This window comes from Homo sapiens, chromosome 2 (assembly GCF_000001405.40).
Source record: "Homo sapiens chromosome 2, GRCh38.p14 Primary Assembly".
Classification (NCBI taxonomy): Eukaryota; Metazoa; Chordata; class Mammalia; order Primates; family Hominidae; genus Homo; species Homo sapiens.
Window position 1 is genome coordinate 199,875,880 of NC_000002.12, and position 18,906 is coordinate 199,894,785.

At 39.3% G+C, this 18,906-nt stretch overlaps 1 long non-coding RNA gene across 3 annotated transcripts in view; it reads right to left on the bottom strand.

Annotated features, from left to right (window-relative positions):
* Positions 1–2,616: 2,616 nt before the first annotated feature.
* The window catches only part of LOC101927687 (uncharacterized), a 32,651-nt gene continuing 16,361 nt past the window's right edge, over positions 2,617–18,906 (bottom strand). The window contains exons 3-4 of one of the 3 annotated variants that reach the window (XR_923766.4): positions 3,527–3,731; positions 2,617–2,821 (exon numbers count right to left, since the gene is read on the bottom strand). This is a non-coding gene — a long non-coding RNA (uncharacterized LOC101927687). Of the gene's footprint in view, positions 2,822–3,233; positions 3,732–6,561; positions 6,718–16,386; positions 18,785–18,906 lie in introns of those variants that run through there. The other 2 variants (XR_923769.4, XR_241384.6) reach the window with 2 other exon arrangements.

Genomic DNA, 18,906 nt, shown 5'->3' on the forward strand with positions numbered 1-18,906 from the left:
AGGAGTTAGAGGCCAACCTGGCCAACATGGTGAAACCCTGTCTCTACTAAAAATACAAAAAAAAAAAAAAAAAAAAAAATTTAGCCAGGTGTGGTGGTGGGTGCCCATAATCTCAGCTACTTGGGAGGCTGAAGCAGGAGAATCACTGGAACCCAGGAGATGGAGGCTGCTGTGAGCCAAGATCGTGCCACTGCACTCCAGCCTGGGCAACAAGAGTGAAACTCTGTCTCAAAAAATAAACAACTATGAGTATAGAACTTCAGTCATGCTCCTGCACCCTTGCCTGGGGGCAAGTGTTTAAAGTCATTTTGTTCCTGACTAGCTATAATATGCATATGTAAGAATAAAATGGAGCACTATATTAGACACATTGTATATGCACAGAAAGGATCAGTTCCTCAGCTATCTTAGGAGGCAGAGCTAGATCAGTGGCTTAATTTTTTTTTTAACTTTACTGTGCCTAAGAATAACCCTGGAAATTCTTTTAAAAATAGAGATTCCGGGGCCCAAATCTGTAAATCTGTGAGTTTGGAGTAGAAAGGCACAAAGGACAACTTTTAATGAAGATGGTCCCTGGACCCAGGTGATGGGGCACCAGGTTGTAATAGATGTGGGGGTAGGAGTTCTCTGCTCTAGTTTGCCTTTCTAAAAGATTTAACAGGCCGGCCGCGGTGGCTCACGCCTGTAATCCCAGCACTTTGGGGTGCCGAGGCGGGCGGATCATGAGGTCAGGAGATCGAGTCCATCCTGGCTAACACGGTGAAACCCCGTCTCTACTAAAAAATACAAAAAAAATTAGCCAGGTGAGGTGGTGGGTGCCTGTAGTCCCAGCTACTCGGGAGGCTGAGGCAGGAGAATGGGGTGAACCCGGGAGGCGGAGCTTGCACTGAGCCGAGTTCACGCCACTGCACTCCAGCCTGGGCGACAAAGCGAGACTCCGTCTCAAAAAAAAAAAAAAAAAAAAAGGATTTAACATATGGTTTAAGGCACGATGTTAATATTTTCCTTTCTATATCTTCTTCAGGCACCTGTAAAATGTGGATAATAACTAATTCTTCCTTATCATAAAATACCAAATGAGAATTCAGAGAGCCAATCTATTGCTTTTGTCCCAGACGAAACTTTTGTAAGTCGTGACCAACAAAAAGAGAGTCAAAGCTTAAAAAGGAGTAACACCAAGATAAAATGTTTGGTAAAAGGGATAAATTATGTTTGAGATGAGAAAGGTATGAACAAACAAACTGAAAAGGGCTGGAGACAAGCAAAACAAAGATGCAGCAGAAATGTGGGGGCAGAAAAGCAACCAAATATTATACTAAATGTCATGCGTTTACTTTGGGAATCAGGGAATGAACATTTACACACAGAGAAAAGGAGTCAAAATGAAAAGTAGCAAAAGGTACAGGGACACAATGAATGAATAAATAGGAGAGGAAAATTGAATGTCAAATGCAGGAAAAGAACGGTAAAGAGGTTCTGGAATTTATATCATGCCTAATTATTCCCTTAAGATCCATGAAAAAAGAAAATTCTGCTGAAGGAAAAACACTAAACAATTTCTGAAGGGAAGAGCACAGAACCCAGAACCTAAAGGGCAATTCACAATTGGGAAATTTTTAAGTCAGCAAATGCCCACACAAGGATTTGGTTGAAGGGAATTTGATTATAAAGTCACTAGGGATGACTTAAGGCTTTTTCATGGACTCAGATGCCAGGATGAAAGACTGACTTTCAGGGATAGACCAATTTTAAGCAAATTAAAAAAAAAAAAAATTGTGAGAGAAGAAAATCTTCTGGCTATGAATGCTATTAAGACAGGATATGGGGTTTTTAAATGAATGTGTTATTTACTATATGCTGATAGAAAGAGATTACATAAACGCTAAAAATCCTGAAAAAAAAATTGAATGTGGAAAAATTATAAAAGTATAAAACATCTATAGAAAGTTAATTTATCAGTTTGTGCCTGTCCTCCCTATATTTCCTCGTTTTCTCTCCCCCCACATTTCAAGCAAGAAGCCATGCTGTGTATTCCCTTTGTCAGAAGAGTTGTGTAGCTGTTTAGTTTAGTTTAAAAGCAAAAGTCACTTATATTCAACAAGCTCTTTCTGTCTTTTGTAAAAGCCAAAATTCATCTAAGATATTGAAGCAGGAAATTTTCCCTGATCCCTTCACAGGCAGGATCTGGAGTATGGGCTCTGGAGTCAGCCAGCCACTTTGGTGTTCACAGGGGCAAACTCCACTTACTCAAACTGTGAGGGGTTGTGCTCAACCCCTCAAAGGAGGGCGCACACAGGTGAGTGGGTGCAGGAGCTGGTGTGAGTGCTTTTGGGCACCAGCAGGAGCAAAACTCCGTGTGGTTCCTGAAGCAGCATCCAGGCAAGGGGAACTGGTGACCCCTGAAGCCCCAGGAGTGTTACAGTCAGCTCTCTTTTACCTTTGCCATCTGCAGATGGCTTACGTGTTGACAGCTCAGTGGCCCTCTGCCTTTTTGCATGAGGCAGCTGCTTTCTGCCAGCAAGGGCACAGGGTCAGTGTGACAGCCTTTTGCATCTGCACCCATGGTACCTGAGCTCATGTTCAGCATCCAGAAAAAAATCAGGTTGCATGAATGAATTGAAGGGTGGTGAATGCAGAGGATTTTATTGCCTGTGTAAGTGGCTCTCAGTGGGAAAGGGAGCTGGAAAGGGGACGGAGCAGGAAGGTGATCTTCTCCTCTCTGAATCCATGCTGTCAAGCTGTCCCTCTGAAGTCAAGCTGCTTTTCTCCAACGTCAAACTGCAGTCTCTGACATCCAGCTGCTTCTCCTCTTCTCTGCTCTCTGCTGGTGGAGACTGGGGTTTTTATGGGCACAGGATGGGGGTGGGGCAGGCCATGGGTGGTTTTGGAAAAGGCAACATTTGAGCAGGAAAACAGGAATGCATGTTCACACTTTGGGCCAGGTTCCAGGCTTGAGAGTGGGGCCCTCACCAGATACCCACCCTCTTCTGCTAAGAATTTCCCTGTCTCCTGACTCTATCAATATTATGGTAGGTGCTCCCAATGGGGAGTGGGAAAAGACAGCCAGAAAGGTATCAACTATGCCAGTGGAGTTTTCAAATGTTCTAAAGGGCTTTCAAAGATGAAAAGGTACTGCAGTACTTAACAATTGTGGTGCTTTTAATAATATCTAATATATTCAAGTTGCAAATGTAAAACTAGTTTTTCTTAAACCATTAAACACCACTTTGAAATCTAATGAATGTATTTTATTTTATTGTAGATTAAAAAAAATAAAATAGTTCATACTATAACCAGCAAAGGGGGCCCGGTTGCTCACCACTTGTAGAAAGAAGCCAAAATAACAAGAGTGAGGTGTGATAAAAAGAGGGTGAATCTTTTTATCCATGCTAAGAAGGAAAAGAGTGCCAGAATTCTTTCCAACAATTGGCACTGCCCAGTTTACGGAGGGAACATGGGGATTTTAAAGAGAGGGGTTTGGAATGCAGGAGAGGCAAGGGGGCGAGAAGGTGTCAAGTGGTGTGACCTGCTCTGATGGCTTGTCTGGAATTATTGTTCCATCTGGTGAAGGGGCTAGCATCACTGTGGGCCCAATCAGGTTACACATCAATCTCAGTGGATCTTGTAGTCAGTCTCCAGCAGGGAGTGAGTTCTGGCCTTGAAATAATCTTTTGCTTGGGATAGAATTCTGGAGGTGTCTGGTTCATGTCAGGATCCAGCCCCTGAGGCTTCTAAAGATATGACCAGGTAAGTGAGCATGGTGTGCGTTAACAAGCATTTGGGTTAATAAATATGCATAAGGCATAGGAGCATAAAGTGGGAAAGGGAAGGCAGTGGAGGTTCACAGCACATTCTGAGGCTATATTTCAAGAGGAAGAAATAAACAATTGTAGTTTGTCTCAAAGCTACATCATGAGACTGAGGAGAAAGGAAGAAAGAAAAGAAGTTTTAAAACATGGTTGGAAGCTAAGCCGCTTGGTTACAATACTACAGAAAAATATATGTGTATGTATGTGTGTACACACATATATAAAATGACACATATAAAATTATATACATATATATATATATATATATATATATATATATATATATATATTTTTTTTTTTTTTTTTTTTTTGAGATGGAGTTTCACTCATGCTGCCCAGGCTGGAGTGCAATGGTGTGATCATGGCTCACTGCAACCTCTGCCTCCTGGGTTCAAGCGATTCTCCTGCCTCAGCCTCCCAAGTAGCTGGGATTACAGGTGCCTGCCACCACACCTGGCTAATGTTTTGTATTTTTAGTAGAGATGGGGTTTCACCATGTTGACCAAGCTGGTCTCAAACTCCTGACCTCAGGTGATCCACCTGCCTTGACCTCCCAAAGTGCTGGGATTACAGGCATAAGCCATGGGCCCGGCCCTATAAAACTGTATACATATATGATTTAAAGAATAATACAGTTGCTGGGTGTGGTGGCTCATGCTTGTAATTCCAACACCCTGAGAGCCCGAGGCAGGAGGATTGCTTGAGTCCAGGAGTTCAACACCAACTTGAGAACACACAAAGAGCCTGTCCTTACAAAAAATAAACAAATGAACTGGGTGTGGTGGCAAGGGCTTGTAGTCCCAGCTACCTGTGAGGCGGAGGTGGGAAGATCACGTAAGCCTGGGAGGTCAAGGCTGCAGTGAGCTGTGATCATACCACTGCACTCCAGCCTGGGTGACAGAGCGAGACCCTGTCTCAAGAAAAACCAAAAAATAATAATAATAAACATCCACGTAGCCACAAACCAGCTTAAGAAAAGGAACATTGCCTTTTAGGTCCTTTGAGCCCCTCCTGATTACATTCTCTTCCTCTGCCACTCCTTCCAAAAACAACTACCTTTTGTATTTTCATATTTACAGTTCCCTTGCTTTCCATAATAGGTTTTTTTTTTCTTGGTAGAATGTGCTTAGATCTATCTATAATAGCTTTGCCCACAAATGTATGTGTGTATTCCTAAACCATATTGTTCAGTTGTCTGCTTTCAAACTTACATGGTGTCATGTTTTACATTTGTTTGTAATTTGCTTTTTTTACTCAACATTATATTTCCAAGACTCACCAAAGTTATTCCATCTGGTTATAGTTAACTTGTTTTTCACTGCTTTATAATATTCCATAATTTGAATAAATAACAATTTATATGACCATGCTCCTGTGAATAGACATTTGGGTTATTTTCAGTTTTTGTTTTGTTTTGTCTTGCTATTGCAAACAAGGGTACTGTGAACATTCTTGGACACATCTCTTAGTGTATACATGTAGGAATCTTTTTAGGGTAAATATCTAGGAGTAGAAACACTGGGTTGTAAGGAATGCCAAATAGTGTTTCAAATGATTCTACTGCTTTACATTCCCTCAAGCAACATGGTCTTCATCTTCCCAACTTTTTTAATCATTACCAATCTGCTGGAGGATAAAAATCCTTTCATTTATTCTTGATTAATGTTCAATTAATTTATAAGTTCAATACTAAAATTCCTTAAACAGTTAATCCCCCACTTACAAAAAAATTATCTTAACCATTGTAAACTATATTGACAAATTTAAGATATATGTTTATCTGAGCCACTTCAAACAACTAACAAGGCAGACTTGTTTCAATAAGCAAAATCTAAGATTTATAACTATTATTAGTCTAATGAATGAAACTCATTCATGTGTTCAATCAGGGCTATCTTAAACATTCAAGCACTATTTAAACATTTAATTATCTTACATATTTCAAATTAAAATCTTAAGTCTAGCATCAAATTGTCTTAAAGTTTCCTAATTTAAACCACAAGCTAATATATCAAATCCTCTTTAACTTTTTAAATACTTAAAATAACAGGCTGGGGGTGTTTGCTCATGCCTGTAATCTCAGCACTTTGGGAGGCCAAGGTTGGAGGACCACTTGAGGTTAGAAGTTTGAAACGGGCCTGGGTGACATAGTAAGACTCTGTCTCTGCAAAAAATACAAGATTAGCTGGGTGTGTTGGTACATGCCTCTAATCCCAGCTACTTGGGAGGCTGAGGTGGGAGGATCTTTTGAGCCTGGGAGATTGAGGCTGCAATGAGTCATGATTGTACCACTGCACTCCAGCCTGGGTGACAAAGCAAGAACGTGTCTCAAAGAAAGAAAAAAAATCCACAAACATAACAGCAGTAATTACAAAATTTATCACTAAACCTAACCGTTATTATTATGAATTCGATTTACTTCATCATTGTAAATTGACTTACCTAACTATGGGGCACATACATGCATATATATGTTTATATATATGTTATATATGTTTATGTGTGTGTGTGTATATATATATATGATCACGGGCAGGCTAGAGATCCCAAACTGCTTTATAGATCACTGGTTAGAGATGATACCTCAGTCAAAATTAGATGTTACTTCCAAGACCATTCTATCAAAGAAATAAATGAAACCATGGAGTTCTTATTGGGACTTCAGCTTGTTCTATTTATTTTCAAAATTATCTATTGCTTTATAATAAACTCCCCCAAGACTTAGTGGCTTAAAAAAACCATCATTTTATACCTGATGTATTTTGAGTCAGAAATTCAAGCAGATATTGAATAGGTGATTCGTTTGCTCCATAAACCTTTAACTAGAAGGTAATTTGGTGGCATTCAGCCGGTGGCTGGGTTGTGTTGGGGAGTCCAAAACAGTGTAACTCATTTGTCTGGTGTCTTCCTGTGGATGACAAGGAGGCTGGGCTTAGGTAGGTTCCTTTTCACATACTCTCTCCTGCAGAGTAGTTAAACTCACATGGCTGCTCAGGGATCCAAAAGGGAGCATTTCAGGAAGCCCAATAGAAGCCCTTCAGCTTTTTATGACAGTCTCAGAAATTCCAAAATGTTATTTGAGTGTATTCCATTGATGAAGCAAGTCACTAAATCCAGTCTAGATTAAAGGATTAAGGAATTAGACCCCATTTCTCCATGGGAGGAATGTCAAAGAATTTGCAGCCATCCTTAATCCACTGCAGCTGAGCTCTGCTTGCTGTGTCAACTGCTGAGACTATACTCAAGCTGATCCTCTAGAATTTAGTTTCCCAGGAAATGTGTTGCTAACATATTTCAAATTGCACATTTTATAAAGTTTTACAGTAAATGTTTTCAAAACTTAATTACCTGATTTGGCAAAATAGGATTCTGTACTTCCCACTAGCTTGCAGCTCATCTCTTAGCGAATTATTAGAGTTAAGTATATGCTCCACGACTCTCTCCAATCTGGCTTAGAACACTATTTAAATTTTTCTTTTTATCTGCTTCTCCAGGCACAGTTATAACCATGATATTACATCTTTTGTTGGGAAAGGTCAGAAGTTGTCAGATCCCAGAATGTTAGTACCAGAGATGTGGTAAGACATCAGAGGATATGTAGGAAAGCTGGACTAGAGGCACAGGAACTACTAACTAGAAACATATTTCTACACCCCAAGCAGGCAGCAGAGTTATTGGATCTAAAGGGCTGGTCAAGGGTTGGTAGCAATGGTTATTTCAGCAGTAAGCATTATGAGCTGATTGATAATTTATATCTGAATGTCAAAAGGGGGCTCCACAATACCTGTGGCTTTTGGACAACTCTGGGAGTCCCAATAATGACTGAGAATGGATTACCCTCCACCCTCATTAACTTGAGGTTTAGAATTAATTTTAAATTGCCTTTAAAAAAATAACGTGGTATTTTTTGCACACCTGAGCTTGTGGAAAAAATTCACACTGGTCTCAGCTGGAGCCTTAATACTCTGCCAATTCTCTTACACAATACTCTGCCAATTATTTGGTGAAAATGCCCTATCTCACCTCACCTCTCACCCCAAGTAGCTATTACAAAGTTCTACCATTCTCAAGGCCCCTACTCTCAATTGATAGCCCTGTTTCCTTCTTCGCAGGAAACTCAATATCTTGTCTATCTGATGTGGTTTGCTGTGTCCCCACCCAAATCTCATCTTCAATTGTAGCTCCCATAATTCCCACATTCTGTTGGAGGGACCCTGTGGGAGGTAGTTGAATCATGGGGGCAGGTCTTTCCCGTGCTGTTCTTGTGATAGTTCGCATGAGATATGATGGTTTTGTAAAGGGGAGTTCCCCTGCACAGGCTCTCTTGCCTGCTGCCATGTAAGACGTGACTTTGCTTCTCATTCACCTTCAGCCATGATTATGAGTCATCCCCAGCCATGTGGAACTGTGAATCAATTAAACCTCTTTCCTTTATAAATTACCCAGTCTTGGGTATGTCTTTATTGGCAGTGTGAGAACAGACGAATACACCATCTGTTCCCTAAATTTACCTATGCCCATGTGCATTCTTCCCTAATTAGTACATGTCTTCTTCTTTGAGTTTTAGATCAATACATTCAAGTTAAACTCCATAAAAGGCTGAGATAAGAATATAGTAGTGGGAAGAGGATAACCTACCTTAAATAGAAAAGTCAGGAAAGACTTTAGACAGGTGCAAATTGAGACCTGAAAAAATAAGGACCTAGCCAAAAAACAGCAGAAGAGTGAATCAGGCAGAGAAAGGCAAAAGCCCTAAAGCTGCAGAGGCGGGTTGTTCTAGGCAATCAAAGACCAGTATGGCTGAAACACCATGGGCAAAAGGGAAAATGGAAAGAGATGACATTGGAAATATGGATAACACGTAGGTCATACAATGTTTAGGTCATGGTAAGAAGTGTGGATTTTATTTTAAGTACATATCACACCAAGATTTATGGGTAATCTTGGTAATCAGAATTTGGGAGGATGCTGGATTGGTTGACTGAGACAAGGAAGTTTGAAGGTAGTAGGGACAGGTTTAAGGGAAAACAAAGATATCCATTTTGGACATATTGAGTGTCTGTGAGACACCCAAGTGGATATGTCAGTTAAAATTTAAATCTTACATTAGGAAGAGCGTTCAAAGTCAGCATGTAAATTAAATGCTTGTATGATACAACTCTACCTAAATAACAGAATATGTGAAAAGAAAAGTTCTGGGCTGGGCATGGTGACTCACACCTGTAATCCCAGTGCTTTGGGCTTAGGTGGGAGGATCACTTGAGGCCAGGAGTTCAAGACCAGCCTGGGCAACATCTGTAGCAACACCCTGTCTTTATTTAAAAACAAAAATACAAATATTAGCTGGACATGAACCTGTAGTCCTCGCTACTCAGGAGGCTAAGGTGGGAGGATCACTTAAGCCCAGGAGTTTCAGGCTGCAGTGAGCTATGATCATGCTACTGCATTCAGCCTGGAAAACAGAGTGAGACTCTGTCTCAAAAAAAAAAAAGATATTCTGAGTTGGAGATATAAATTTTGGACTTATCAGTCTATAGATGGGAATTAAAAGCACTGGTAATAAAGCTGGGCACAGTGGCTCACACCTGTAATCTCAGCACTTTGGGCAGCTGAGGTGGGCAGATGGCTTGAATCCAGGAGTTTGAGACTAGCCTGGGCAACATGATGAAACCCTGGCTCTACAAAAAATACAAAAGTAGCCAGGCGTGGTGGTGCGTGCTTGTGGTCCCAGCTACTTGGGAGGCTAAGGCAGGACAATTACCTGAGACCCGGGAAGGGGGAGGCTGCCATGAGCTATGATCGTACCAATGCACTCCAGCCTGGGCAACACAGATCCTGTCTCAAAAAAAAAAAAAAAAAAGAACTCTGGTAATTAATGAGATTACTTAGGAAGAAAATGTATAAAAAATGTATGAAGAAGAGTGAGCCTAGAACTGAACTGTAATTTACTTCAGTATTTAGAGAAAAGGTAAAGAAAGATAAACAGACTGAGAAGGAACAGGTAGTGAAGTAGTTGAGAAACCAAGAGAATACGGTTTCTGCAATTTCTCTGAAGACAGCCAAGAAGAGTGTTCAAGGAAAAAGTCTTTAAGTATTTTAAAAGGTGCTAAGAAGCTGGGCTAAATGAAGACACAGACATATCTTTTACATCTGACAGCGTGTACATCGTTGATGACTCTAATAAGAGAAGTGCCAGTGAAGTGATGAGTATAGTAACCAGTCAGGACTGAGTTGAAGAATTGATAAGAAGTGAGAAATAAAGCTAATTTTCCAGAAGTTTTACTGTGAAAGGATTCATAGAAATGGTGGTAGCTAGAGGATAACCAATAGTGAAAGGCTTTAAAAAGCATTCTTTTTAAATGTGGATGGGAAAGAGTGGTGATACAGGACAGGGAAGGCGTAACTGAAAAGATGAAGGGCTTGAGGAAAGTAGAAGTAGGATCCAGAACACAAATGGTGGGAGAAGGAACACATCCTTCATTGCTAGGGAAGGAAAGAAAAGATGGCATACATAGTTAAGTTTACAAATTTTGATAGTGGGAAGATGAGAGTGCTCCTGTCTGATGAATTCCCTCAAATTAAATATAAAATATTGTCATCAGGTGAGTGGGAAGGAAGGTATAAAATAATTGACTCAAAGTGGAAAACTGCACTTACTTGGTAAATAAAATAATATTTCCAGGTCATGTTAACTGTCTCAATTGAAGTTTATAATTATGAATTTAGTGTGAAACCTCTCCTAAAGTGCACACAGAAAAACCTCTCCTCTCATGCACACAGAAAATGTATATATAGTAATTTCAGTTGTAGCACTTTGTATTATCAAATGACAGAAAACCAAAATGTTCATCAATAGCAACACTGTCTCAATAAATGATACATTTTTGGGGTACTACTACATATTGAAATACCATGTATCTATTAAAAGAAATAAGTAAATTTGTCTGTGATGATAGAGAAAGAATTCTAGGATATATAATTAAGCGAAAACAATAAAGTGCAGAATAATTCATAAAATACTGCTCATGTTTATATTAACAATATAGAGAAGAGAGAAGGGAGATATGAATTTGAGGACTTTGAGGAAATTAAATTAACCAAAATCTTCCCTGCTAGAGTTCTGAACAACTGAGAAAGGAGACAAAGAAATAAGATAGAAGAAGCCAAATTGTCACCTTTATTAAGCTGATATATTAATGAATATACTTTACATGTGTGGGCAAATGAGTTTCCTAATACCAAACCCCAGAATTAGCACATTCACCCACCCACAGTGCAGCACTGCACCAGGGCAGACCTCTTCCCATCTTGGCACAAGGTCAGAGGATTACAGAGAAATTTATGGGTTTATTACCCACCTGCAGAGAACAGGTAAAAGGAATGAATTGAGCTAACCATGCCCAGTATATTCTTCCCAAATTTTCCAATCAGACAAGTTTCTCTACCTCTCCAAGCGGAATGAATAAAGAAGTAAAGCTAGGTATTAACAAAAGAGTCATAATAATCACCCATAGAATTTAAGCTAGTCAAATAGGAAGGTAGAATAAAGAAGAGGTTGATTGATAATGAAAATCAGTGGGTTAAGGTATTGAGAGTCTGCATTAAATCAACAAATTGTGGCTATAGGAGTTCTACAGAAAAAAAAAGCACAAAATAAAAGGATATTAATCAAAAAGTCGAATATTTCAGCCAAGATTTCAGAGATAGTGCAGACTTTGGTTCTGATAAATTTGGGAAATGGCTATGGGAGTGTGCCCAGAGTGAAATGCAAGAAAAGGTGTTGGAGGTGAGATCAAGGAACTGAGAAAGCAGGTGTAGAATGGGTTAACTGCAAGGAAAAAATTTTAAGCAGAAGGAGGTGAAACGTGAACTATGAACCAAAAGCTAAAATTTCCAGTGGATGAAAGGGGAGGGAGGACATTAAATATTAGCAATAAGGGGGGAAGAAGAGGGAATGAATTTTGAGGGAAGAGATAACCTATAGGAAGGTGGCAGTAAAATGGTTTCAAAGCAACAATGGGACACAAAGACATCTATTCCAACTCTTAGCCCTAAGATACTCAGGGGCAGAGAAAAAACAGGTGAAACAAACTCCTCTGAGCTAAAGGAACATGTCTAACCCAGTGCAAGGAAGCTAAGAACTTTGAAAAACGGTTAGAGGAATTGCTAACTAGAACAACCAATTTAGAGAAGAACATAAATGACCTAATGGAGCTGAAAAACACAGCATGAGAACTTCGTGAAGCATACACAAATATTGATAGCCGAACTGGTCAAGTGGAAGAAAGGATATCAGAGATTGAAGATCAATTAATGAAATAAAGCATGAAGACAGGATCAGAGAAAAAAGAATGAAAAAGAATGAACAAAGCCTCCGAGAAATATAGGACTATGTGAAAAGACCAAACCTACATTTGATTGATGTACCTGAAAGTGAGGGGAAGAATGGAACCAAGCTGGAAAACACTCTTTAGGATATTATCCAGGAGAACTTCCCCAACCTAGCAAGACAGGCCAAATTCAATTCAGGAAATACAGAGAACACCACAAAGATATTCCTTGAGAAGAGCAACCCCAAGACACATAATTGTCAGTTTCACCAAGGTTGAAATGAAGGAAAAAATGTTAAGCACAGCCAGAGAGAAAGGTCAGGTTACCCACAAAGGGCTGAAGCCCATCATCCAACAGCAGACCTCTCTGCAGAAACCCTACAAGCCAGAAGAGAGTGGGGGCCAATATTCAACATTCTTAGAATTTTCAACCCAGAATTTCATATCCAGTCAAACTAAGCTTCATAGGTGAAGGAGAAATAAAATCCTTTACAGACAAACAATTGCTGAGGGAATTTGTCACCACCAGGCCTGCCTTACAAGAGCTCCTGAATGAAGCACTAAATATGGAAAGGAACAACTGGTACCAGCCACTGCAAAAACATACCAAATTGTAAAGACCATCAACACTATGAAGAAACTGCATCAATTAATGGGCAAAATAACCAGCTAGCAACATAATGACAGGATCAAATTCACACATAACAATATTAACCTTAAATGTAAATGGGCTAAATGCCCCAATTAAAAGACATAGACTGGCAAATTGGATAAAGAGTCAAGACCCGTCATTGTGCTGTATTCAGGAGACGTATCTCATGTGCAAAGACACACATAGGCTCAAAATAAAGGGATGCAGGAATATTTACCAAGCAAGTGGAAAGCAAAAAACAAACAAACAAAAAAACAGGTTGCAATCCTAGTCTCTGATGAAACAGACTTAAACCAACAAACATCAAAAAAGACAAAGAAGGCCATTACATAATGGTAAAGGGATCAATGCAACAAGAAGAGCTAACTATCCTGAATATATATGCACTCAATACAAGAGCACCCAGATTCATAAAGCAAGTTCTTGGAGACCTACAAAAAGACTTAGACTCCCATGCAATAATCATGGGAGACTTTAACACCCCACTGTCAATATTAGACAGATCAATGAGACAGAAAATTAACAAGGATATTCAGGACTTGAACTCAGCTCTGCACCAAGCAGACCTAATAGACATCTACAGAACTCTCCACTCCAAAACAACAGAATATACATTCTACTCAGCACCACATTGCACTTATTCTAAAATTGACCACATAATTGGAAGTAAAACACTCCTCAGCAAATGCAAAAGAACAGAAATCATAACAAATAGTCTCTCAGACCACAGTGCAATCACATTAGAACTCAGGATTAAGAAATTCACTCAAAACCACACAACTACATGGAAACTGAAGAACCTGCTCCTGAATGACTACTGGGTAAATAAGAAAATTAAAGCAGAAATAAATAAGTTCTTTGAAACCAGTGAGAACAAAGGCACAGCATACCAGAATCTCTGGGACACAGCTAAAGCAGTATTTAGAGGGAAATTTATAGGACTAAATGCCCACAGGAGAAAGCAGGAAAGATCCAAAATCGACACCCTAACTTCACAATAAAAAAAACTAGAGAAGCAAGAGCAAACAAATTCAAAAGCTAGCAGAAGACAATAAATAACTAAGATCAGAGCAGAACTGAAGGAGATAGAGACATGAAAAACCCTTCAAAAAATTAATGAATCCAGGAGTTGGTTTTTTGAAAAGATCAACAAAATAGGTAGACCGCTGGCAAGACTAATAAAAAAGAAAAGAGAGAAGAACAAAATAGGCACAATAACAAATGATAAAGGGGATATCACCACCGATCCCACAGAAATACAAACTACCATTAGAGAATACAATAAACACCTCTATGCAAATAAACTATAAAATCTAGAAGAAATGGATAAATTCCTGGACACATACACCCTCCCAAGACTAAACCATGAAGAAGTTGAATCCCTGAATAGAACAATAACAAGTTCTGAAATTGAGGCAGTAATTAATAGCCTACCAACCAAAAAAAGCCCAGGACCAGACAGATTCACACCTGAATTCTACGAGAGGTACAAAGAGGAGATGGTACCGTTCCTTCTGAAATTATTCCAAACAATAGAAAAAGAGGGAATCCTCCCTAACTCATTTTATGAGGCCAGCATCATCCTAATACCAAAACCTGGCAGAGATACAACAACAAAAAGAAATTTCAGGCCAATAACCCTGATGAACATTGATGTGAAAAGCATTAATAAAATACTGGCAATTAATAAAATACCGAATCCAGAGGCACATCAAAAAGCTTATCCACCACAATCAAGTTGGCTTCATCCCTGGGATGCAAGGCTAGTTCAACATACACAAATTAGTAAAAGTAAACCATCATATAAACAGAACCAATGACAAAAACCACATGATTATCTCAATAGATGCAGAAAAGGCCTTCAACAAAATTCAATGCCCCTTCATGCTAAAAACTCTCAATAAACTAGGTATTGATGGAACATATGTCAAAATAATAAGAGCTATTTATGACAAACCCACAGCCAATATCATACTGAATGGGCAAAAGCTGGAAGGATTCCCTTTGAAAACCAGCACAAGACAAGGATGCCCTCTCTCATTATTTTCTATTCAACACAGTATTGGAAATTCTTGCCAGGGAAATCAGGCAAGAGAAAGAAATAAAGAGTATTCAAATAGGAAGAGAGGAAGTCAAATTATCTCTGTTTGCAGATGACATGATTGTATATTTAGAAAGCCCCATCATCTCAGCCCAAAATCTCCTTAAGCTGATCAGCAACTTCAGTAAGGTCTCAGGATACAAAATCAATGTGCAAAAATCACAAGCATTCCTACACATGAATAATAGAGAGCCAAATCATGAATGAACTCCCATTCACAATTGCTACAAAGAGAATAAAATACCTAGGAATACAACTTACAAGGGATGTGAAGGACCTCTTCAAAGAGAACTACAAACCACTGCTCAAGGAAATAAGAGGGGACACAAACAAATGGAAAAACATTCCATGCTCATGGATAGGAAGAATCAATATCATGAAAATGGTCATACTGCCCAAAGTAGTTTATAGATTCAATGCTATCTCCATCAAGCTACCATTGACTTTCTTCACTGAATTGGAAAAAAACTACTTTAAATTTCATGTGGAACCAAAAAAGAGCCCATATAGCCAAGAAAATCCTAAGCAAAAAGAACAAAGCTGGAGGCATCATGCTACCTGACTTCAAACTATGTTACAAGGCTACAGTAACCAAAACAGCATGGTGCTGGTACCAAAACAGATATATAGACCAATGGAACAGAACAGAGGCCTCAGAAATAATGCCATACATCTACAACCATCTGATCTTTGACAAACCTGACAAAAACAAACAATAGGAAAAGGATTCCCTATGTAATAAATGGTGCTGGGAAAACTGGCTAGCCAGATGCAGAAAACTGAAACTGGAACCCTTCCTTACACCTTATACAAAAATTAACTTAAGATGGCTTAAAGACTTAAAGGTAAAACCCAAAATCATAAAAATCCTAGAAGAAAACCTAGGCAACACCATTCAGGGCAAAGGCATGGGCAAAGACTTCATGGCTAAAACACCAAAAGCAATGGCAACAAAAGCCAAAACTGACAAATGGGATCTAATTAAACTAAAGAGCTTCTGCACAGCAAAAGAAACTATCATCAGAGTGAACAGGCAACCTACAGAATGGAAGAAAATTTTTGCAATGTATCTACCTGACAAAGGGCTAATATCCAGAATCTACAAGGAACTTAAACAAATTTACAAGAAAAAACCCCATCAAAAAGTGGGCAAAGGATATGAACAGACAGTTGTCAAAAGAAAATATTTATGTGGCCAAAAAACTTATGAAAGAAAGCTCATCATCACTGGTCATTAGAGAAATGCAAATCAAAACCACAATGAGATACCATCTCATGCCAGTTAGAATGGCAATCATTAAAAAGTCAGGAAACAACAGATGTTGGAGAGGATGTGGACAAACAGGAATGCTTTTACACTGTTGGTGGGAGTGTAAATTAGTTCAATCATTGTGGAAGAGAGTGTGGTGATTCCTCAAGGATCTAGAACCAGAAATTCCATTTGACCCAGCAATCCCATTACTGGGTATATACCCAAAGGATTATAAATCATTCTACTATCACACATGTACAAGTATGTTTATTGCAGCACTGTTCACAATAGCAAAGACTTGGCAAATGCCCATCAATGATAGACTGAATAAAGAAAATGTGGCACATATACGCCATGGAATACTATGCAGCCATAACAAAGGAAGAGTTCATGTCCTTTGCAAGGACATGGATGAAGCTGGAAACCATCATTCTCACAAACTGACACAGGAATAGAAAACCAAACACTGCATGTTCTCACTCATAAGTGGGAGTTGAACAATGAGAACACATGGACACGGAGGGGACCATCACACACCAGGGCCTGTTGGGGGTTTGGGGACTAGAGGAGGGCTAGCATTAGGAGAAATAGCTACTGTAGATGACGGGTTGATGGGTGCAGCAAATCACAATGGTATGTGTATACCTAGGTAACAAACCTGCACGTTCTGCACATGTATCCCAGAACTTAAAGTATAATAAAAAATAAAAAATTGGGCTAGGCGTGTTGGCTCACACCTGTAATCCCAGCACTTTGGGAGGCTGAGGCATGTGGATCACCTGAGGTCAGGAATTCAAGACCAGCCTGGCCAACATGGTGAAACCCCATCTCTACTAAAAATACAAAAATTAGCTGGGTATAGTGGTGGGTGCCTGTAATCCCAGCTACTCGGGAGGCTGAGGCAGGAGAATCACTTGAACCTGGGAGGTGGAGGTTGCAGTAAACCGAGATCAAGCCATTGCACTCCAGTCTGGGTGACAGAGTGAGACTCTGTCTCAAAAAAAAAGAAAAAAAAGTTAAAAATTAAAAACCCTTATTCCATTGATACCCTTTTCTGAGGAGGTTGGAATCAACCCAACTGAGAGAATGAACTGTGGAGATTGCCAGTTGTGTAGAATGAACAGTTTGTCAAGGTGAATCAAATATCTCATAGCTAGTTTGAAAGGAAGGCAGATGTAATCTTGAATGATTCACACAAATTCATAAGGTGTTAAAGGCATGAAAATAAATTTTAAAATACTTAAAAAAAAGGTGAAGGAAAAAACCGCTTCGACGTGGGAGGGCTGCAAGAGAAGCAAGGACATCAGAGCTCAGGGCAACTTCCATTAATGCAAGAAACCTCAGGAAAGAGGTTGAGGTCATACGGTGTTTTGTTGATCGCAGAGTTAGACATGCTGGGTGGCATTTTGGAGATCATGATAAAAGAATTTGGAAGCTAAGGAAAAGGTAAATAGGGCATTATGCACCTTGTACCCGATTTACAATTCACATAGAATCCAACTCCGTGAGTTCTGCAACATGAAGACCCTGGAGGTTGTAATTGGAGGAATATGAGAATAGGCATGTTGAGGATGCTTGGCCCAAATGGAGATTAACAGAGGTAGAGATGTGAGACAAGATAGAACTATGTCTTACAGTCTCTAAAAGGAGGGTGGGACTTTAACTTTAAGGTATCAATATTTTTGTTTGTTGATAATGCAGCTTGAGAGCCAGCATTCACGATGGCTTCCCCAAGAAGTACTAAATCCTGAGATTCTTAGTTTCTAAATATTTCTCTAGTTAATCCTCTTTTCCCACTCCCCTCTGTTACTGCCATAGTTCAGGATCTCATTTTCTTTCCCCTGGGGTTTTGCCGAAACCAGAGTCATTATTTGCTATGCCCCCATACGCTAAACTCGTTATTTTCCCACAATGTCAATTTAACTGGCATTTTCTACCCATGCCATGCCTTCCTACCCCCACATGCCTTTGTACTTGTTCTCTTCTCCTGCCTTGTCCTTTCTCTCCTTGTTTTCCAGGTAACAACCAGTCTGATTTCTGCCTTCAGGCCCATTTTGAATACCATTCTGTAAACACTTTTTTGACTACTCCCACCACTTTGATTTTACAAACATTACAATTCCTCATCTGTGTCTCTGCTACTTTGCAGAAGTGATTTGTATTTGTTTCCTCAATTATACTATAAATTCCTTGGGCCAAAAATTATTTCTTATATATGTTTCAGTCCAGTCTTTCATACACAGTAAGTTCTCACTAAGAGTTTGTTGAATAAATAATGTGATGCATCAAATGACACATCCATTTCTGTTTTTCACCAAAGGGTATCTCTAAATATGTTTCCTCTTTACTTTCTCGTTAACATCAAAGGTAGGTGGTCCCTCAATTCTCTCTTAAGTTCAATCATAAACAAAGCCCTTACTCCCAGGTTTTTTAATCCAAGTGACTTTATCAGTTCTTTCATTTTCTTATTTATCTCCACACTCTCTCCTTTTCAATTTGCTTTATATTTTCTGCTGTCAAGTATATCAGGTTTCAGTTATTCATCCACAGGATCACCACCTTGACTCTGCTGCTCCTTATAGATACTTCATTTGTGCCAGATCTTCCCGCCAAGGCGAGCTGTAAAAGCATCTGTTTATTCTTCTTGTCCATCAGGTAATTGTGAGATTGCACATACAAAAACATGCACAGAAACAAAAAGTACAAATCTTAAAGAAGAAAGGAAATATTTTCCTAATATTCAGTAATTTTGAAAGATTGCT